The sequence below is a fragment of the Homo sapiens genome, chromosome X (genome assembly GCF_000001405.40).
Source record: "Homo sapiens chromosome X, GRCh38.p14 Primary Assembly".
Classification (NCBI taxonomy): Eukaryota; Metazoa; Chordata; class Mammalia; order Primates; family Hominidae; genus Homo; species Homo sapiens.
This window is the reverse complement of record NC_000023.11, coordinates 70,031,188-70,053,065: the sequence shown is the minus strand read 5'-3', so window position 1 is coordinate 70,053,065 and position 21,878 is coordinate 70,031,188. Positions and strand designations below refer to the sequence as shown.

Here is a 21,878-nt window from a genome sequence, read left to right as displayed (position 1 = left end):
CCCAGCTGTGCTGAGGTGGCTTCTCCTTGGCAGGGAAGTGCAGATCCTTCCCACAGGGCCATACAGAATGTTCTTCCTCTGCCTCACCCCCAACTCCAACCCTTCTGCCAAACGGTCTTTTGTGGAATTCTGTGTTCACGGAGAATCCAACTACTTCTCTCCATCTCCACTGCCACCCAGCCTGGTGTGAGGCACTGTTATCTCTCACAGGGGATTATTGTCATAGCCCCTCAAAGGTCTCCTCCTTCTTCCCTACCCTTTAGCAACTTAAGTCATTCTGGCTCTTCTCTGCTCAAAGCCCTACAGGGGCTCTCCATTTCGGTCAGAGTAGAAGGTCTTTGCCAGGCTCTCTGCTCTCTGCCCTCACCTACTCAGTTCTTCTCATTCACTTGATTCAAGCCTTCTTGCTGCTCCTCGTGACCTGCCAGGGACACCTTATTCCAGGGATTGTGTGCCCTTACTGTTTCTATTGCCTAGAACATTCTCAATCCAAATTGCCACACTGCTTGCTTCCTCATCTCCTTCAAGCCTTTGCTCAAATGCCACCTTCTCAGCGTGGCCTTCCCTGATCACTCCTTTTAAAATTGTAAAGCCTGCTCTCCCTGCCTGATCCCTTCCCACCTCCCAGCACTCTGCGTTCTTCTTACTCTGCTCAAATGTTTTTTCCCCGTAGGTTTTATCACCTTAGAATGCACTATAGAATTAGTTAATTAATTAATTTCTATCATTTGTCTTCCTCCACCAGAATATAAACTTCACAAAAGCATGATTTTTTTTTAGTTTGTTTTGCTGCCCAGAAGAGTGCCTGGCATATATTATGTCCTCATAATAATTAGATGTTGTGTTAAGACACCCTTCCAGTCTTCCACCCTTCCAGTCTTCCACCCTTCCATGTATTTGGCCCATAGGACACACCTGGCTGGACTTGGTATCTTTCACACTCGCATATCTCCCATCACACACAGACTTGGAGGTGCCACCTACTAATGTGCATATATAAATATGTGTTGACAACTAGATACGTATTTCCCTTTGTACATATATACTCACAGGCAAAGACCACATGTGCACATGTATGTGCATGAAAAAAATCATATTTGTAAAATTTCTTCTTTTTTTGTTTGTTTGAGACAGAGTCTTGCTCTGTTGCCCAGGCTGGAGTGCAGTGGCATGATCTCAGCTTACTGCAACCTCTGCCTCCCGGGTTCAAGTGATTCTCATGCCTCATCCTCCAGAGTAGTTGGGATTATAGGCACACGCCACCATGTCCGGCTAATTTTTTGTATTTTTAGTAGAGATGGGGTGTCGCCATATTGGCCAGGCTGGTCTCGAATTCCTGGCCTCATGTGATCCACCCACCTTGGCCTCCCAAAATGCTGGGATTACAGGAGCGAGCCACTACTTTTTTTTTTTGAGACAGAGTTTTGCTCCCGTTGCCTAGGCTGGAGTGCAATGGTGCGATCTCAGCTCACCACAGCTTCCATCTCCTGGGTTCAAGCGATTCTCCTGCCTCAGCCTCCTGAGTAGCTGGGATTACAGGCATGTGCCACCACGCCCGGCTAATTGTGTATTTTTCAGTAGAGATGGGGTTTCTCCATGTTGGTCAGGCTGGTTTCGAACTCCCGACCTCAGGTGATCTGCCTGCCTCGGCCTCCCAAAGTATGACCTTGAGGGAACTCTTTTTTCAAAATTCTATTATAAAAAAATTCAAACCTACCGAGTAGTTGAAAGAATTGTACAGTGAATACCCACCACCTAGATTGTACAGATAATATTTTATGTTATCTGTACAGAAATATAAAATATAAAATATTAAAATATAAAAATATATTTAATATATTATATATAAATATTAATATATAAAAATATATTAAAATATAAAAAATATTAAAATATTAAAAATATAAAATATTTATATATTTTACTAGATTTAATAAATCAATCTTTGTTTGATTTATTACATATTTATCCATCAGTACATCCCTGTATCCATCCATCAATATATTTTACATGCATTTCAAAGTAAATTGCAGACATCAGCACTCTTTTTTGTTTTGTTTTTTTAGAGACAGTGTCTCACTCTGTCATCCAGGCTGGAGTGCAGTGGCACGGTCATAGCTCACTGTAATCTCTAATTCCTGGCCTCAAGTGATCCTCCTGCCTTGGCCTCCCAAAGTGCTGGGATTACAGGTGTGAGCTACCATGCCCAGCCTAGTATTCTTCACCCCTAAACACTTCAGAATTAATGAGAGTTCAACTTTTTTTTTTTACTTTCGAGGTAAAATCCACAGGCAGTGAAACGTACACATTTTAAGTGTATACTCACTGAGTAATGAGGTTTTGATCTGTGTAACTCACAGTCCTATCAAGACAGAGAACGTCACTGTTACCCCTAAAGGTTTCCATCATGCCCCTTCCTAGTCAATCCCCAAGCACAGGTAACCACTGCTGTGATTTGTTTCACTATAGATTGGTTTTGCCTATTCTAAAATTTCATGTACACAGAATAATATACACCAATATTTGTTTCTTCATTCAATAATAGGTTTATTCAGTACCTATGATAGCTCACAGACATACATGTGATGTCTCTTCAATGTGAGTAATGAGTTCTCCCAGACTGACTAAAAGGCTGAAGGTATTTCTAAGGCCTTGCCTGTGACCTCCTTCCCTCTGCCCTCCAATCCCATTGTCACTGAGAGACCATAGACAGTTGGGCCTCAGAAACAGAAATGCAAGCCCTGTGTCCCATTTGAGCCCTGGGCTCCTTCCTGCCCATCACTCTCCACCATCCAGACTGGCCCTGGAGGCCTCTTGTCAGCTGCACGCCCACACTAACTTTCACACCAGGGTTTCATCACATTTCTCTAGCCAAGTGCGCAAAGGAGTGTCACAATCTCAGTCCAGGCAATACCCAAGTGGGTAAAAGTACAGGTGAGTGGGCAGCTGGAAGGAACTGGATAAGCAGAGGCATTATATGGTCCTGTAATTCTGTGGAGGGGTGGTACAGGGGCGGAGGCTAGCCAGAGGCTGGGGAAGAAAACATTAAGAGAGGAAACATCACAGACTCCTGAGCAATCAGGGCTGGGCAGCTGAACAGTGCTTACCTGGAGCCACTGGGACGCTGGGCACAATGCTCTTGCCCTCTAAGAAGGACCTCAAGACTGCCCTGGATGTCTTTGCTGTTTTCCAGTGGTCCTTCAGTGCCTTGCTTATCAGTGAGTCTTCAGCCTTTGGTAGGGTGACCAACCATCCTGGCTTGCCTGAGACTGAAGGATTTTAGGGTTGCAGGATGTTCAATGGTCAAACTAGGGTTGTTCCAGTAAAACCAGGAAGGTTGGTAACACCAGCCTCTGGCCTGACCCACCTGGCCATGGTATTTGTGGGATCTGTGAGTGTCCCTGTGGGCATGTGTGTGTGCATATGGGTGTGTGCCTATGCAGGGGTGTGTATATGCACGTCTATGCACATGGACTTTGCTGCAGGTGTGAGCCCTTCTCGGTCTACATTGGGGTGTAGAGGGCATTCTTTGGGAAGATGAGGAGCAGTTCCACTGAGGCTAGCCAAGGAAAAGGGCTTGGCTGCAATCACAGGGACTCAAGCAAACCACCAATTAGAGATAGTTGGGTCAGGTGGCAGACCGAGGCTCTGGAAACCTCATCCTGAGGAATTCGACAATTTATCCATCCATGTCTTCCAACGCTTACACTACAAACACTTTGTGAAAGTTATTTCTATGCTGGCCACTGTGTTCTAAATGCTGAAACAAATCATCACTGTGGGAAGGGGTCCTGGAAAACATTCTTGCCTTTCCAGTGGTTCAGGTGAGTACTGGCTGGAGTCAGGGAAATGAATTAAGTGACCTTGCAAGCTATCTAGGAATAAAGAATGCAGATAGGCCTTGGTGCACAGAGCTGGCACAGAGGCACGCCAGTGAATAGGAAGGGTGGGCATTCCTTACCTCACCTCACCTGTTTTCAAATTCCAGTTCTACTACTTACTATCTGTGTAATTCTTAGCAAGGTATTTATCCTTTCTGAGTCTTGTTTTCCTCATTTGCAAAGTGGGAGCATTCAGGGTGTATTAATCAGGATGGTCTAGGTATGCCGTGCTGATAAATTCACCCTGAAATCTCAGTGGCTTAACCCAGCAAATGTTTATTTCTTGTTCATGCTGAATGTCCAACATAGGTTGGTGGGAGTCACCGCTCACTGTGGACATTGATATTCAGGCTGACGGAGGCACCACCAAATTGTGTCGCTGCAAAATGGGGCTTGAGGGATTACCACAGCATGGGAGGGAAAGTGAATGGAGAACTCATTCACAGTCCTTACTACCTCCACCCAGAAGTGATAGGCAAGAAACCATGAGCTGTCGCCTCATTTTGAACGTCCTTAATTACTGATGAGTTTGAGCATCTTTTCATGTTTATCAGCAATTAGTATTTCTTTTTCTGTTAACTGCCCATTTATGACCTCTGCCCATTTTTCTCTTGAATTTGAGTTGACTCTTGAAGGACAAATAGGAAATAGGTGAAGAAAGGAAGAGCATTTGGGGCAGAGAGTGGGCAACACATGGAAAAGCTAGGATGGCAAAGGGCACATAATGCATTCAAGGAGCTGCCAGTGGTTAAGTGAGGTGGAGGGTGAGAAGCACAGAATTGGTGCTCGATATATATTTATTGAATGAATGAATGAACAAACAAGAGAGGGAAGAAGGAAGAGACTGGAGAAACAGGCAGGGGACAGATTGTGTAGGGCTTTGTAAACCATGGGAAGGAGTTTGGACTTTTTTTGAGAGCCATGTGGAGCCATGAGGGAGACTGACACAGGGTGATGGCATCAGAGATTACTCTAGCTCTGTGAAGTCAACTGATTATAGGAAGATAGAAGTGGAAGGGGCAATGCCAGGTAGGAGGCTGTTGCAATAATCCAGATGGCGGTAATTTGGACCAGGCCGGTAGTGATGGTGATGCAGAGAAGAGGAAAGAAGAGGGGAGATTCAAGAAATTGGAGTAGAATGAATAGGACTTGAAGATGGGGGGTGGGGGCACGGGAGAAATGGAGGAAGCAAGACTGAGGGATCAGGTCCCAGTGTGAGCTGGCAGGGGGGCAGGTGGGGCAGAGAAGGGTTAAGGAGGAGAGTGGCTGAAAGGGGATGAGTCCAGGGACAAAATGGACTCAGAGGACTCTTAACTGGAGTTTGACTTCGGGGTATACTAAGAGGTACAGAGAGGGCAGGCAGAAGAGCTCTCGGTCCTGGCAGCAGATATGGGCTGCAGGCGTTTGCCCCTTCCTCACTAGTTCACATAGGGCAAGTGGGGCAATGGCCCTTCGGAGGCCTCTCAGCTCTTCACTCTAGGAGTGCAATTGAATCCATCCGGACCCTAAAGGCCTTGAGAGAAGGCCCTCCCAATAAGTGAGGGAAATAGTGCAGATATTGGTATTTTAGTTCCCATCTTGCAGATGAGGAACTGAGGTTCAGCAACGTCTTTGGTCACACACAGTAAGTGGCAGATCCAAGATTCATCACATCACAGGGCACCCCACCTGAGGCCACGCTTACAAGATGTCCCCAGCACTGCCTAGGTTTGAGCAGAGCCTAAAGGAAACTGGGAGGTGTCCTCTGGATCAGACCCAATGCCTCTCTTTACTTCTCAAAGAAGTCAGTAGTGTCATATGGCACTTATCAAAACCCTAGAACTGCTGGCCTTTGCTCTACCCTTAATTCTCTTTCCCAAGGCAGTGCTTTTCAACTTTGTTGGTTCTTTCTTCTGGAATTTACTTCCATATTTCTAAATCTTATTATTTGCTGATGTAACAATTTTAGACATTGTCTATTGACTTCCTAATATGGAAGATGAGAATTTGGCTGTGCACACTATCACTAGAACTTCCTCTTCCCCCATCCTCCCAAAATTGTTATAGCACAGGTTTTGGTTAAATGCCTATGACTAGAAAATATGATTCATAATTGAGCTATTTAGTCACCAAGATTATATTTCCTTTCCCATGGAATTTCCTGTTTTCCCTGAAGTTAATAATTGCCTCATTTTATTTTATTATTTTATTTTTTAGTGTAATATTTTAAAATCAATTTTTGAATCTTAAGTACTAAATATTTTATAGAAATAAAACTTTTTCTACTTAACATAAGGATTAAAAATACCTAATTCCAATCCTAGAAGTATCATCATTGCAATTTGACAAAATAATTTCAAAGTTTTTCTGGAAAAAGAAACCGTTGAGACTAGAAAAGAGGAAGCACAGTTGTGAATGCTCCCTATTAAATATTGGGTAGAAAACTGTTACATAAAAAGCTTCACAGACTCTAGAATTCACAGATAAAATTATTGAGTACAGGTCGGTGGCGGCGGCTCACGTCTATAATCCTAGCACTTTGGGAGGCTGAGGTGGGTGGATCACTTGAGGTCAGGAGTTTGAGACCAGCCTGGCCAACATGGTGAAACCCCATCTCTGCTAAAGATACAAAAATCAGCCAGGCATGGTGGCGTGCACCTGTAATCCTAGCTACTGGGGAGGTTGAGGCACAAGAACTGCTTGAACCCGGGAGGCGGAAGTTGCAGTGAGCTGAGATCATGGCACTGCACTCCAACCTAGGTGACAGAGTGAGACCCTGTCCAAAAAAAAAAAAAAAATTGAGTACAGTGGTCTTGAAACAGACACACAAATTTAACATTTCATAGTGAAGCATCCTAAAGCCATATAGGGGGTGGGTTTCTTACCACAAAGTATTAGAAAAATCATTCATTTCATTCAGAAAGTCTAGTTGTAGCCTTACTCATACCGTAAACTGAAATGAATTGTAGTTAATTGCTTCATTTTACATTTCTTTTATTATCTATTAGAAATCTATTAGTTATCATGAATTCACCCTCTGAATCTGTGCAGACCTGTCAATCTCTCAGTACGGGCAAATGCAACAAGAATCTAAGTCCCCCCATCCTTTTATTTCCTTTAGAACATCGCTGCTGGAGCCTGGTATCTTCCTGTTACAATTTGGCCTCATGCACAGCTGTCACCTCCAGGGCCCTTGAGACACCTTGGGTGCAAAATTTAAGAAGCTGCTCACTCTCAGGGCTGTGCAAGTGATGGGCCAGTACATGCATGACCTGAGAGTTAGTGTCTTGCTCAATGTTGTGCCCTGGGCACCTTGCTCACCTCTCCCTATCCCTGGCCCTGCTTGCTGCCCTCCTTTGTTGGGTCCTTTTTTTCCTGGATTCTATGCCTTCCTCTTTCTTGGTTTACTCCCTCATTTTGGTGAAGCACATTCTCCAGTAGTTTTCTGAGACAGGAGCATGGGAGACCAATTATCTGAGACGGTGTGCATCTGAAATTACCTTTATTCCACTTCTATACTTGATTAATAATTTGGCTGCATATATAATATCTTAGCTGTGTCTAGTGTAAGTATTTGAGTCTAGAGTCTGTTTGGTTCAATTTTTTGGGGAACAATCCTCCCATCATCCAGTTGTGTAGGGGAGGAGAGGGAACCTGGGGTTCTAATTCCTTGGCAGACTTTCAACCAATCCTCCAGTTTTTCTAGCCCTGTGCCTCATCCCTGCCTCTTGTGGCACCTGATGCCTCCAAATTCTGAGTCTTTCCTAGATCCTCCAGTGCAAATAGGCTCACATCTTGTAGGCATCCCCCTTGCAGGTAACTAGATTTTAATTTTTTTGTTCTAAGTCAGTTACCCACTCTTCCATCTGCTTTCCTACATGGAAATGTTTTGCTAATATCTCTTATCTGCTGTTGGCATCTCATTAATTCTCTTTCTCCTTGTGGATCTACACTTTAAAAAACATTTTAATGATAATTTTCATGGAGCTCCAGCAAGAAGTCAAGGCAAAACCTTGTGTTCAATCTGCAATGTTCAATTAGAAATGTTCTCTGTCTTTTCTAACCTTTTACTGACCCACTTTCCCAAATAATCTTACTACAGCTGCCTTAAAAACTGAGTCCAGTAGTAATTCTGAGTGTGGCTCCCTATGACTCATCTCTAGTAACTCTTCCTAACCATGCTAACCTACAGTGTTCCTATCTTACTGGAACTTAATACAGCCCAGTACCTTATTCTATTCTGGTTTGTATTTTTCTTTGTTTGCCATCTGGTGTGCTCCCAACTGGGCTGAAGATGGGTCTTTGCTTTCCCTGGTATTCCCTTAACTAATGCCTCAGAGAGAAGATTTGGAGAGGAGGACGTGAATTGGAGGAAAACTGTTCCAGGATTCCCCACCTCTGGTGGCCCACCGCTGGCTCACTGCCATTGACCACACTGCAGGCAGAGCCCAGTGCAGTGCTGGAGCAGGGCCCAGAGAGGAGAGGGCTTACAGTGTGAATTCAGCTCAGCTGGGGAAGAAGACACCTTCCCTTCTAGACCTGAATCGGGTTCCCAAGGCCAGATAGAAGAGGGGGCTGGGAACATGGGCAGATGGGCCAGGTGCTGGGGTGAAGAAGTGAGAGTGTTGAGTGGGTATGGGTGAGAGAGAGTGCACGTGACCTTGGGGTGGACAGAACTCCGGAGAGAGGGTAAGTGTGAGGGACTGCTTGAAATTCATTAACTCTGGTCTGGGCTTCCTGCAGCAACCACTGTGATTGCTGTCAACCTCTACCTGGTGGTGTTCACACCATACTGGCCTGTCACTGTGCTTATTCTTACCTGGCTGGCTTTTGACTGGAAGACCCCTCAGCGAGGTAAGCATCCTGCTGGTGCTGTGTTGCCACATGCCACATGCTCTTTCCCCTTCTCTCATCACAATCCTGAGAGGCTCTGGCCAATTCCCAGACAGCCCTTTAGCCTGTCCCTCCCTGGGCTAGAGAGGCTGAGGGAAGGGGTCCTTTTAAGGTGGTAGAAAGGCCCAGATCAGAACTGGAGTGGGTTAGGGGAGGGGCAGCTAGTGAAGCAGAAGCTAGGCCTGTCCTAAATTGCCCTGATATGCCCACCTTGGTTGCCACTTAAGAGGCCAGGAAACAGCAGGGGGTGAGAGCACCCTGGGGCAGGCCCACAGTGGGAATGGACAAAGCTTGGCTGCATTGCCTCTGTTTTCAGGCGGCCGCCGGTTTACCTGTGTGAGGCACTGGCGCCTGTGGAAACACTACAGCGATTATTTCCCTCTCAAGGTCAGTAGCCCCAGGTCCCCACTCAGGCCCAGGTCCAGCCCCGACTTCAGTGCTAGCAGTTGGGTCAGGCTAGGGGTGGAGGGCGCCATCCACATTGAGCCTCTTGAGAATGACGCCCCCTGGAGTTGCACATTGGGCAACCTGCATGGCTAGACCTAGCAGTCCTTTTCCTTTCAGATCTCTGCCCAAAAGAGAAGTTCTCTACCCTGGGAATAGCCCTCCTGATTCTACTTTCTTCCGCAGCTTCTGAAGACTCATGACATCTGCCCCAGCCGCAACTACATCCTCGTCTGCCACCCTCATGGGCTCTTTGCCCATGGATGGTTTGGCCACTTTGCCACAGAGGCCTCAGGCTTCTCCAAGATATTTCCTGGCATCACCCCTTACATACTCACACTGGGAGCCTTTTTCTGGATGCCTTTCCTCAGAGAATATGTAATGTCTACAGGTAAGTTGGCTCCTAGGACACAAAGCCAAAGAAAAAATGGCTCCCCAAGGGAGAATTGTAGGGGGATGCGTGAGAGCAAGGCCAGCTCCCAATCCCCTCTGGTGTGAAACAGCTATCATAGGCTCACCTGCCTGATGTTAGGCTCCTTGCACTCCCCCTCCTTTGAAGCAGTAGAAAGGAAATGTAGGGGTTTGGGAAGTGACCAGTGGCTGTTTGGCTTTTTCTATCCACCAGGGGCCTGCTCTGTGAGTCGATCCTCCATTGACTTTCTGCTGACTCATAAAGGCACAGGCAACATGGTCATTGTGGTGATTGGTGGACTGGCTGAGTGCAGATACAGCCTGCCAGGTTCTTCTACCCTGGTGTTGAAGAACCGGTCTGGCTTTGTGCGCATGGCCCTTCAGCATGGGTAAGGACAGCTCCAGTCCAGGCTGGCGGAAGGGATCCAAAAGTGTTGCAGGGAAAGAAGAAGAGGGGGTTTTGATGAAAGGACATCCACAGAGAGAGGAGGAAGTATACAATACATTCTTACGAACTATGGTCATCAGAAAGATAAGTTTTATTTGTCAATTAAAAAAATAAATAAGTTAAAAAAAAAAAAGAGGGAGGAGGAAAGCCACCTCTGGGTTGAAGAGCTGGGGCCAGGTCCTGGAGGCATTTCTGCTGAAGCAGAATGGGCAGAGGGCCAGCCCTGAGCCTGTTCTCCCTCACACCAGCCTCTCATCTGGGCCGGCCCCTCTATACAAGGGGACTGGCAACAACCCTGTCTCAGAGAGAGCCAAGCTTAGCTTGTGTTAAAGTGAAGAAAATCAACTGGCATGGCCCTTGGGTCTTACTTTCCAGCGTTTCAGACCCAGGGGTTCCCAGGAGGGTCTGGGCTTGCCTCCTTCTTTAGCTTACTGCTACTTTGCTCCCACAGGCAGCCAGGGGTAGGCCATGGAGCCCCCACACTCAACTTGGACCTAGGCACAGCTGGACTGGGGTCTGAGAAGCCTGTAGGCAGACCCAGGGATCATGCGCCGTCAGCGTGTCTGGCATTCGACAAGGTCCCTACCTTTCTGGGCTTCAGAAGATATGCTTTTGCTCTGCAGGGTGCCTCTAATACCTGCCTATGCCTTTGGGGAGACGGACCTCTATGATCAGCACATTTTCACTCCTGGTGGCTTTGTCAACCGCTTCCAGAAGTGGTTCCAGAGCATGGTACACATCTACCCTTGTGCTTTCTATGGACGTGGCTTCACCAAGAACTCCTGGGGCCTTCTGCCCTATAGTCGGCCTGTAACCACCATCGGTGAGTGGGCGTTTCTGCTGGCAGCCTGAGTCTAGGACACAGGATCTAGCTCTGAGGCTGAACCTCAGCTCTGACTCTGCTCAGAGGCAGGGAGGCTGGCTGGGATGAGTGGCAGCTTTTTGAGGTGAGGATGGGGAAGAGTCTGGGCTTGAAGCCTGGGGCCCATTCTGAGGAATGAGCTATTCTGATGCTTTTCCCTTTTCCTTCACTGTCTCCCCTGGCAGTCGGGGAGCCTCTACCAATGCCCAAGATTGAGAATCCAAGCCAGGAGATCGTGGCTAAATATCACACACTCTATATTGATGCCCTACGTAAACTGTTTGACCAGCATAAGACCAAGTTTGGTATCTCAGAGACCCAGGAGCTGGAGATAATTTGACAGACATCCCCAGTAGCCTTCACCCTGGCTGGAAGGTATGGATGGACCCAGTGAGAACAGGAGGACAAAAGTCACCTATCAGGCTCCCGCTCCTGATTTGACCAGTCCTCCTTATGGGGAGGGGCTGTTTGTTCATTTGCTTGTTTTCTGCACTCCTTTTCCCACCTCCTTTTTTTTCCTTCCAGCTCTTTTCTGCCCTTTCTTTGCAGCTACTGGTGAGATAGTCCCAAGAAACAGGGAAGAGCCTAGGGGAGAGGTGCCCTGACGGCACTTTGGTGCCAGCATTGAGGAAAACAATGGACAAAATAAAAAGCCCATCTTCTGATAACTGCGTGTGCACCAACTACTCTGTTTTGAAGGCTCTGGGATGCATGTCTCTCCTTCTCTAGCTGTCAAACAGCCCCATCTCCCGGCATTGAGCCCCATCTTCTGGCATTGAGTCCTGCTTCCTACAGGAGTAGGACTGGGGCCTTGAGAGCCAGTGGGCTTTGAGTTTAAGCTCCACCAACTTCAAGCCATGTGACTTTGGGGCAATCAGTCACCTCTGAGCCTCCTTTCTTCTTCTATAAAATGAGACTAACAATCTGTCTCTTGCTTACCTCAAAGGCCGTTGGGAAGATCAAACAATATTGGATGTGATTGAACTTTATAAACTGGAGAGCTACACCATTTTCTTCTCCAACCATTTTACCCATTTCCTGTCCCTGAGCAAACAACGCCCGAAATACCCTCTGCTACCCACTAGCCCTCACTCAGTTTCTGCCTCACAAAGCTGTAACAGAATGGGTTGGGCTCAGGCCTAATTTTCTCTGTCATTCCCTCAGCAACTTGCCTATACTTGTGTGGCCCTATAATTCTGGCCTTTGTTTGAGAGTCAGCCAGCCTGCTCAGGATGAAAATGAGGCGCCTGGCTTTTAGCAGCCATAAAGAACTCTCCTTCTGAATGGCAAGTCTCTCAGACTCTTGGTCTAATGGCTGTTGCAATGACAGGCTACAAAATTTGGCTCACATCCCTCTCATTCCATCCCTCTTGGGTGGGTGCCATTTGGTCCAGTGATTTACCTGCATTACGTTGGTCAATTTGGTCTACAACATCCTGCGTGTTTACTGCAGTGTGAGCTGCTGCCTCTATCCTGGGTGCCTGCCTCATGTGATGATTTGTATACAGTGGCCAAAGACATGCTTCTGCTTTTCTGCTGTCTTTGTTACTTCTTGTGCCAGAGATTACGTTTTCCCTGAGCTTCCATAAAGTGTTTTTAAACAGTCTGTAGCTTTCCTGTGACTGGTTTCCTTAAAAAACAAACAAACAAACCTCTAAGGTGGCCATAGGACCAGCCTGGGCTCCAACACCCAGCCCATGCACACCTGGCCATTGCAGGTTTGTCGTGGTCTGCTGTGTGCACATTGTTCCACCTATACGATGGCACAGGGGCGGGCCCAGGGAAGCCAAAAGATTGGCGGGGGGCTGGGGGAAAGGCTGCTGGGGTTGTGAAAAGCGCAAGACCTCTCTTGAGCTACGTGTTCTTGAGCTGCAATCTGGTCTTTTTCATGTGAGCCTCTTCCTTATTGATTTTGGCTCAGGATGGATGGAGGGGAAAATAGGCAAATACTACTTTCCCAGGTAACAGCAGCCTCGGCTGGGAAGGAATCAGACCAGGTTGACACACTTACTAGTTGGGTAACTCTGGGTGAGCCACTTAAATTCAAATTAAAGTGTTGGTTTCCTCATCTGCAAAATGAGCTGGAGGCTGGGTCTACCCAGGCTATTTGGGGCCCAGGCCTGAAGTATCTTTTGTAGATGCCACATTCTTAAGCTGAGAGTGAGTCAGTTCTGTGTATTGCTGCCCCAGGACAATGTTCCTTTTGGCAGGACATCTAGCCTACCGGTCATGTGGTCACAGTCACAGAAGACCTAAGGCAAGGTTGTCTAACCTGTGGCCTGCGGGCCACATGTGGGCCAGGATGGCTTTGAATGGGGCCCAACACAAATTCATAAACTTTCTTAAAACATGATGAGAATTTTTTGTGACTTTTTTTTTTTTTTTTTTTTTTAGCTCATCAGCTATTGTTAGTGTTAGTGTATTTTATGTGTGGCCCAAGACAATTCTTCCAATGTGGCCCAGGGAAGCCAAAAGACTGGACACCCTGACCTAAGGTAATGGGGATGTGGGAGTGTGGTCTGAGGCATGGAGAGAATGTGGGATGTTCCAACAGGAAATTCAGACCATCTTCCTTCTGTTGCTGCCTCTGAAATGGGTGCCTTAGTCCTTCCCCTAGCTCATGTGTGGCGTCATTTGCAAAGAAGCACCTAACATGTAGGAAGTACTCACGCCGATTTCAAGAACAGACGGGGAAAGCGTTTTATTTGCAAAGAATAAACCATTAATTTACACAAACTTACATCCCAGTTTATATACATTATATATAGTTTATATACACAGTATCTCACACTGGATGCTGACCCCCAAAAGCAGCATTGGGCCTGCTCCAGGCCATTCTCACAACAAAGCCCACCCCCCAATCCCAGCTGGAGGAATATAGAAATGACACACCCCGAGCCCTCCTGGAGAGAGTCCTGAAATGGATTAAAAGACAAAAATCAGCTTTCTTCTTTGTGCTCACAGGGCCTAGAGGAGCCTCCAGGCAGGGATGGGTCCTGAGGCAGCATTACAGTAGCCTAAGGACTTGCTGGCACTGGGCCAGTCTTGTGCTTTCCAGTCCAGAGGCTAGAGCTGGGAGAATGCCTTGGGAGGAGGAAGAGTTCTGATGAAGGCTGCAGCTACTCTCTCCCTGCCTGGCCAGGCTCCTGAAGGGGGCCAAGTACTTCCAGCCTGGAGTTTGTGGGTGGAAGAAAGAAGATGGCCATGTGGGACAGGAACTGCTTTACCCCCTCACTCTGCTGAGTCTGGAGGTTGGTGCTTGCTCACCACTTGGGGCAGGTCATCTTCCCTCTCTGGGCCTCAGTTTCTACATAAGTAACAGGGTGGAATGTAGGTTGGGCTAGATTCCCTCTAAGGGCCTTTTTAGCTCTAAATTTCTCTGAATCTATTTGCATCCACAGGAAGTTACATAAACACATACACTCATACATGGATCAAAGTCTTTGTTTACCTCCAGGGTTCCTAGCTCTTTCCTGTTCAGCAAAAGAAATTTGGCTCAGGATGGATGAAGGGGGAAATAGGCAAATACTACTTCTCCAGGTAACCAGTAGCCGAGCAGCCTCCGCCAGCTGTCTTTTGTGCCAGCTTGGCTGTTGAAGCCCAAGTAACTGGCAGAGACTCCTGCCATGCCATTCTCCTTCAAACCTCTGTCATCTGCTTGCCCACAAATGTCCTCGTCCCATTCTCCATGCAAGCATTGGTCCTCTGGCAAATTCACACCAACATAATTCCAAACTGCACATCTATTTCCACATTCTCTCATCAGTAAATTGCTTTGTCACTTTGCCAATGACTTAGCAGCAATAGGGCTCCCCAGCTACCTATTGCTTCCCTCATCATCCCTCGCCCTCTAGAGTTCCTTTGGAGGGTTCAGAATGAATCAAGGGTCCAGTGGAGATCCTATTTCCTTTATCATCCCCTCCATGTCTGGAGAATAGAATGGTATCAGGATGCTCTTTAGGGGCACAATTAGGAAGACTTTTCCTCCTCTCTCCTCACACCTTTCTGGCCTCAGAACCAGTCCTCTCTTTCAGGTCTTCCCTCCATCCCTGAGAGACCCTGGTAGTATCAAAGTCTCTAAGGTATGGTGGAAAGAGATAAGGAGTCACACTAGTAGTTGTGGGAAGCAGGCTGGCTCCTGTAAGCTGTCTGTAGGGTAATGAAAGGAGGACTTTGCCCACAGTAGGGGCTCTACACATGATGGTTGGCTGGTTCCTAGGATGGGTGAAAGAACATAAAGGCCACAAGTTCTGTGGGTCCCAGAGGCCTGCTGCTCCAACATTGTGCCAGGAAGATTCTTCTGAACACAAGAGCTCTAAGGCTGTTCGCTGTTTTCCAAAGAAATGTCTGACTCTTTTTGCCACAGAGCCCCTGGCAGCCGAGAGGACGGGTATTACCATCGAGGAATGAAATCAGGCATCTCTGGGTTTCTCCCCGGAACTCTCAAGGATTTCAGTTCCCAATTACCACTTTTATTGGTTCTCTCTAGACCTCAAATTCCACACAATGCTGTGGTGTAATGGAACAGCTTTGGAGTCAGACCTGGCTGAAGCTCCAGGTCTGCGGCTTAAACTGGTCAAAACACTCTGAGAGTGCTACCTCTCTGAGCCTCATCTAAACAATGATGTTTGTCATATTATCAGCCTTGCCTTCTTCAAAGGAGATAATACAAGAGAAATTATTTTCCAAACATGAAGGAGTGGTTCTTGTTGGTTTCTGCTACAACTGCGGACTGTCCGAGGCACTTTATAGGAGTTAGGGCCAGACACATGCCTGGAGTTCACCTCACCTTGGGTTGCAAGGCTGTCATTAGCAACCAGACAACGGAGGCCTAGCCCATCACGTCTCACCCTGACCCTTGAAGGGCCAAGCAGTGTGGTTGCTTAGAAAGGGAAGGCACAGCTGAGAAATAAGTACCCGCTGTTCTTGGTGAATTTCAGCTGCCTGAAGGAAATTATTCCCCATCTCCTGAAAAGGAAACACATTTCAGGAACAAGAGGAGCAGACTGTACAAGGCTGGCCTTCCCAGGTTTGGGCTGGATCTAGCACCCAGAAACCAGGCTGAGCCCAGGCACTTTGAAGTAAGGCTCTCGAGGGTCCTACCATATGATCTGTTGGGAAGCTTGGGGTTTAGGGGAAGGTGAATTTGGACCTGAACTAGGGGGCAGATCCCTGCTCAGTGCCTAGACACTGGCTTCTCCTGAGCCTGGCTTTAGGGGAGCAGCATGAGCACCTGCGGTGACAATGCTCTGCTGTGGCTTTTTGAAGCCAGAGTGAAGAAAGACTGGGTTAGTACAGCATCAGCTGCTGGCCTTTCAGATAAGGCCTGGCCTAACGTCCACTTGGGTTGCAGCAAACTTGAACAAAATCCCTCTGTCCTATCCTCACCCCTTGCCCTTTCTAGGCCAGGTAAAAAGGCTCTGCCTTGCTAATGCCCAGGAGCAGTCTAGGATTTGGGAATTTAGAAGGCTGTGGTGAGGGCTAAGAGTCACAGGTACTAGAAATTGAAGGGACTTCTGGAGGTCATCCCGTCCAACCCTTCGTCCCCAGACAGAATTTGATTAGGAATGGATGAAAAACATTTGTACTGCTTAATAAATGGAAAATTCTGTTTGTGCCCAGGTAAGCTAAAGAATATCCCAGACTCACATGACCACAGGTCCCAGGTTAGGCACCTGTCTCAGACAGAGGTAGGCTCCATGGAGAAAGAAGACAGGAGTTCTAGTCAGGCTGGGAATGGGGGCAACTAGAAGGTGACCCCAGGGAATTTTCTGAGTGTGGAGCACAGCTGTAAATAAAATGAGAGTCATGTGACCCAAGTACGGATTCAGGGTCTTAGGCGGGCAGGTTTGTGGCCATTCCCTGTGATTGTTCCAAAGCACAGCAAACTTCCCAAAGCCCAGCAAGCTGCCACGGTGTGGCTGTCAGCTGGAGTGGGAAGAGCACTCCAACCCTCCTGCAGGCCACAGTATAGAGCAGAAAGAACATTCCCACTGCCAAGGATGCTCCTTGGCAGGTTTCTCTTATGGTCTCTGCCAAAAGCACCTGCCTTTTCCCTCTCTGGCCTTCTTCTTAGGCTGCAATGCTCCCTTCCCACTCCACCCCAGCCACTACCCTACCCAAGAGAGGAGCAGCAGCCCCCTTGGGGTCAGATGTCCACCCCCAGAGTCTGGAGTGCACCTTTGCTTTCTCTGGCCTGCTGCCCTGGATCCTCATTTTAGTGCAACAAACAATAGATCTGACAACAGGGACCTCGGGGTTGAAGAGTCATGCCATAAGTCAGTCAACATGGAACCAAAGAAGGTTCTGCTTCATGTAAACCCTGGGGCTCCATCAACTGTCCTGTTAACTCAAGGTCATTCTGGAAAGTCAAGCAGGCCTTGTCACCCTGGAGTCACTGGGGAATAAATAACACTGGGGCATTTCTCTGCGGCTGCAACACCAATACACCTCACTCCACAGCAGCACTTAGAGGTTCTGGGAGTCCTGGCTCCCAAACCCAGGGAAGGGGCACGGACAGAGGCAAAATGGGGGGAATCTAGGATGCAGGGGCTTCACCCAGCCTGATGGCCCCAAAGAACGTGGTGTGCTTGCTCATGTTGATGGAGATGTCAGCGTGCACCATCTTGACGGCGATCTTCTGCCGGGCCTTGAGGAGGCAGACGCCTGCGGTATAGCAAGTGTTGTAGTTGGTCTTGCCCGTCTCGATGCTGCGTGTGCACTGCAGGAAGGGCTTCTCATCCACCACCACCTCATAGCTGGCAAAGTCAGTGAAGTTGATGTAGTATACCTGAGTGAGAGGCAACAAGAAGGGATTGGGGAAGAGAGGAAAGAGAGGGTGGGGGGCCCTCCCTGTGGTGAATTGACAGAATCTTCTCAGATGAGCTGTTAGTATACCCCATGGATGGGGCAGTGCCATGTGAAGGCGTGCTAGCTGGCCAACAGGAAAGGACAGGTGACAGGCATTGTTCTTCCCCTAGTCCATGGGGCTCAGCTGGCTGAGCAAACTTTTCTTACAACAGCACACTTGTCGCAAACTCTGTAAGGCTAAGAACCATGCCCTATTTGCAGCTTCACCGTGCCCCTGTTCCCCCGCCCACCCCTGCCCCAGCCCTGACATGAAGCAGAGTGCTCTGCACGTAGCAGGTGTGTACACAGTGCCGTGGACACAAACTGACTTCCATTCTTGAGCCCCACGGACTATTTGTGGAGAAACTTAGAAGTCACTGATTCCCCAGAGAGGGCATGTAACAACTTGTGATTTCTTGAGCTCCTTAACAGAAGCTTATTCAGCTTGCACCACCCCTCCCCTGGGCCTGGACTCCCCTCACTGATTCACAGTGCCCCTTGGGCCTCCCATCTGATGATTGAGGAAACAGGTCCAGAGAGATCGAGAGCTAGCTACCACAAACAAGACAAAGAATTTGGAAAAGCCCAGGCCCCTAACTTTGTGGCCAGAAGGAAGCACTAACTTATGCTCAGTGGCCTAATGTCATGGGGATTTTCCCAGCCTGCATGGGCCACTCTCAATTCTCTCCTAGGCTCAGAAAATTAATTTTTCCATCCTTCACTACCCTTATCCATCATACCTCACACCAAGTTTTGATCTGCCGCCCACCCCCACCACGTGGAACTTGGCTCACAGGACATCAGGGTTATGCCCATGTGCCCCATGGGTGTTGGGACTCTCAGATATCACCGTAAATCATTTTATGAAAGGTCACTCCCTCTATCAGCTCTTCAGGTGGGAACAGCATATTTGGGTGCCATATACGGGTCAGGACCCAAGCTACAGCGGGGTGCTCAGTGTGCCTAGCAGATGCTTGTTAGCCCACCTTCTCTGGCCGCTCTCATGTGACACCCATCTGTTGGCTCCATAGTCCTTCTGTCCACCTGCCTGCTTGCTGCCCATCCCACAAAAATCCCAACCTCATGGCTCATCTTCCTTTATCTCCAAGGAGCCACTCCCATGGAGGCAAACAATGGGGGAACGGAAGTAGATGGACACTGGTGGACTTGGGGAGCGGGCCCAGGGCAGGAAGAGGACAAAAGCAGAGGGAGAAAGGGCTGGGAGAATGACAGCAGGAAGGAGGCAAGAATAGAGGAATAGAAAGATAGGGAAACAAATGGGAGAAAGAGGAAGGAAAGACAGTCAGAAATCTTTTTGAGGTGGAAAGAAAGTCTGCAGGAGCACTATTCATTACAACGTCCGAGCCAGCAGTGTTGAGGGAAAGGGTTCTCAGTAACCCTGGAACTGACTTTCAAAGAATGTACTGAGACCAAGTTCAAGTTTGGCAGTGCAGCCAAACAGCTCAGAGGGTAAACAGGGGCCTGAGGCCCTGCAGGAGGGAATCAGATGGCAGGGTGTGGGAGGGGTCTTTTTCACAGTTTTTCAATAATATTTGGCTAAGGAAAAACAAAACAAAACAAAACAAAAGAAGCTGGCCCCCTCTCTCTTTCCTCCTTTCAACTCCCTCCCAGTGCGGTCCCCCCACCCCCTCACCCAAAGCAGGAAGTTAGCCATTGGATGGTCTTGGCTGGCTCCACAGTGCCCCTATGTGGCCTGCACCGGATCTGCATTCTGGATATAAGAAGAGTTAGGCCTAAGACCGTACTCACTTCTACCTGACTATAGATGAAGTAGGTGCCGTCCACCAGTACCTCCAGCTCCCCGCTGCGGGGATGTAGCTTAAACACCTTGGGGTTCATAGTGATGCGAGACCAGTCATTGAGCACTCCACCTGAAAGATCTCAGTATGAGAGAAGGGCAGTCACTCAGTACATGTCAGAATAATCGAGGCAACAGAAAATAAATACCAAGGAGTTCACAACCCCCACCCCTATCCCAGTGCAACCAGGGTAGCCTAGAAGGCCAAACTTTAAGAAGAGCATTTGAAAGCAGAGAAGCTGTTCTGTTTGTAAAGCAGCTGCCAGGCCTGCTTCAGGGCTCCTGGGCTCTGCCTGTCTGTCTTTATCCTTCCTTTCTTGACCCTTGCATCTGGAAGGGTCTTTAACCAATACCTTCTAGCTGGAATTTGCCGGTGGAGGATGAGAGTGGGCATGCTGCCCTATTTTCTTTGTTGTTATGGGGCCTGCACAGGCAAAATTCAGACACTGAGTGGCAGGCTAGGTCTTATTATTCAATTTTACTTTCCCAGCCAGAGCTCCTGAATCCCTCTCATCTCATAGGTTCATGGGTTTTCTCTTTCTCCTTAAGAGATTCTTTTTTACGGTTCTTCCACACCCACAGCTTTCTGGAAAGCCTCCCTGGGAGGAAACCACTCAGCCCACTGTCTATCTGGAGAACCTTAGGGATTAGAGATGATTCAGACTCCATGGTAACTGGGGCTACTGACCACTAGTACCAGGGCCCCATAGGTGAGAGGGATCCTTATGAGAGTGAAGGATAGACTGGCAGGCTGCAATAGAGCCAGCTGGGAGGATAGGAGCCGAGCCACCCTTGGCAAAGCATCTGTCTCAGCCCCACCCCAGGCAGGGGTGGAGGGGGCAGTCACACTCCTTTGGACAGCGGAAGCCAGTGTGTGAGGATGGAGGAAAAACTTCTCTTTCCATCCTGCAGAAAGAGGAATGTTCCTTCCCACCATGAGAGGAGGACATCCAAGCCCAGGGAGCCTTTTCCCCTCTAAGCCATCCATCCTGCACCCAAGAAATTATATTTTATAAGTCCATCTTTGGCCAGTTTCAGTAGGCCTGCCTGTCTGAGGGGTGAGGAAACAGCCTTTCTGGAAAAGGTGACCATCTTTCCTTGAGGTGGTAAGTAGATGGGCTAGGAGCTGCCCTGGCTCTGTCCCATCAATGGACCACTCTGCATGACGTCCTCCAACCCCTGACCCCATCACTTCTTCTTCTTTTTTTTTTTTTTCTGAGATGGACTGTCACTCACTCTGTCACCAAGGCTGGAGTGCAGTGGTGTGATCTTGGCTCACTGCAACCTCCACCTCCCGGGTTCAAGTGATTCTCCTGCCTCAGCCTCCCGAGCAGCTGGGATTACAGGTGTGTGCCACTATGCCCAGCTAATTTTTGTATTTTTTGTGGAGACGGGGTTTCACCATGTTGGCCAGGCTGGTCTCAAACTTTTGGCCTCATGTGATCCGCCAGCCTCGGCCTCCCAAAGTGCTGGGATTACAGGTGTGAGTCACTGCACCCCACCCCCATCACTTCTTCTGGTAGTACTAAAGGTCAGCACAGACCACCTCTGAGGATTGGCCCAGAGGGGCTGGAAACAATCTTATTATGTGGCAGTGGGAGCAAAATCAGTGGCTGCTAGCACAGAATAAACACTATCCATCTAGATATCCAAACAAATCTATTTTGGCCTGTCTCTGGCCTCCCTGGACAGGTGGGGATCATGGCCCACTCAGGGCCTTGGGGTCCCCAGCAGGACCAATTGGGTTTTGGTGCCATTGTGTTCCTATTTACACTTCTGAGGCTACTAAGTCAGACATGGAGGTGGCAGTCAGGGAAGTAGCTAAATACAGTCATTAAGGAAACTCAGCACAGCCAGTTCAGGACTGACTGAGTTCTTAGAAACTGTCCCCATGTAGCTGTTTTTTTTAACCTTCCTTTACCGTTTCTGTACTCACAACCCCTCCCTTCCACCCCAAGCTCTGTAAGCATCTGGCATCTTGGCTAGCTTGCTGCTTCCCAAGGCTCCTGGGGGTTCACGCATTTTAGGCTTTGTGCACTCTGGGGACTGGACATTATTCCAAAGTGCTGTTCTTTCATGAATGTTCATGTTTCTTTGGGGGAAGAAAATGAACCTAATCATTCAGTGGAGTGTACATACATATCACTGAAGTAGCACAGGGGAGAGGAAAGAGTCAGAAAGATGTAGTTTTGAATCCTGGCTCCTAAACTAACTTGACTAAGAAATATTGGGAAACTTAATTAATCTCTCTGAACTTCACTTTCTGTCTTGTAAAAAGGAGCTCATACCTAC

At 48.1% G+C, this 21,878-nt stretch overlaps 2 protein-coding genes across 8 annotated transcripts in view; one reads left to right on the top strand and one right to left on the bottom strand.

Annotated features, from left to right (window-relative positions):
- AWAT2 (acyl-CoA wax alcohol acyltransferase 2) lies at positions 3,128 to 12,524 on the top strand. Of its 2 annotated transcripts, none has more exons than NM_001002254.1 (8): positions 3,128 to 3,218; positions 8,604 to 8,714; positions 9,070 to 9,140; positions 9,384 to 9,588; positions 9,823 to 9,997; positions 10,680 to 10,879; positions 11,104 to 11,293; positions 11,444 to 12,524. In NM_001002254.1, the coding sequence occupies exons 1-7, from the start codon at positions 3,134 to 3,136 to the stop codon at positions 11,256 to 11,258; spliced, it is 1,002 nt and encodes a 333-aa protein (NP_001002254.1). In that variant the 5' UTR covers positions 3,128 to 3,133; the 3' UTR covers positions 11,259 to 11,293; positions 11,444 to 12,524. The 2 variants fall into 2 exon arrangements, with proteins under 2 accessions (NP_001002254.1, XP_011529178.1); XM_011530876.3 differs by having other exon boundaries at positions 11,468 to 11,586.
- EDA (ectodysplasin A) overlaps positions 13,594 to 21,878 on the bottom strand; it is a 423,360-nt gene continuing 415,075 nt past the window's right edge. Inside the window, exons 7-8 of one of the 6 annotated variants that reach the window (NM_001399.5) lie at positions 19,538 to 19,668; positions 13,594 to 17,708 (exon numbers count right to left, since the gene is read on the bottom strand). In NM_001399.5, the coding sequence (NP_001390.1) occupies positions 17,457 to 17,708; positions 19,538 to 19,668 (383 nt within the window). In that variant the 3' untranslated portion in view covers positions 13,594 to 17,456. Of the gene's footprint in view, positions 17,709 to 18,019; positions 18,986 to 19,537; positions 19,669 to 21,878 lie in introns of those variants that run through there. The other 5 variants (NM_001005609.2, NM_001440762.1, NM_001440761.1 and 2 more) reach the window with 5 other exon arrangements.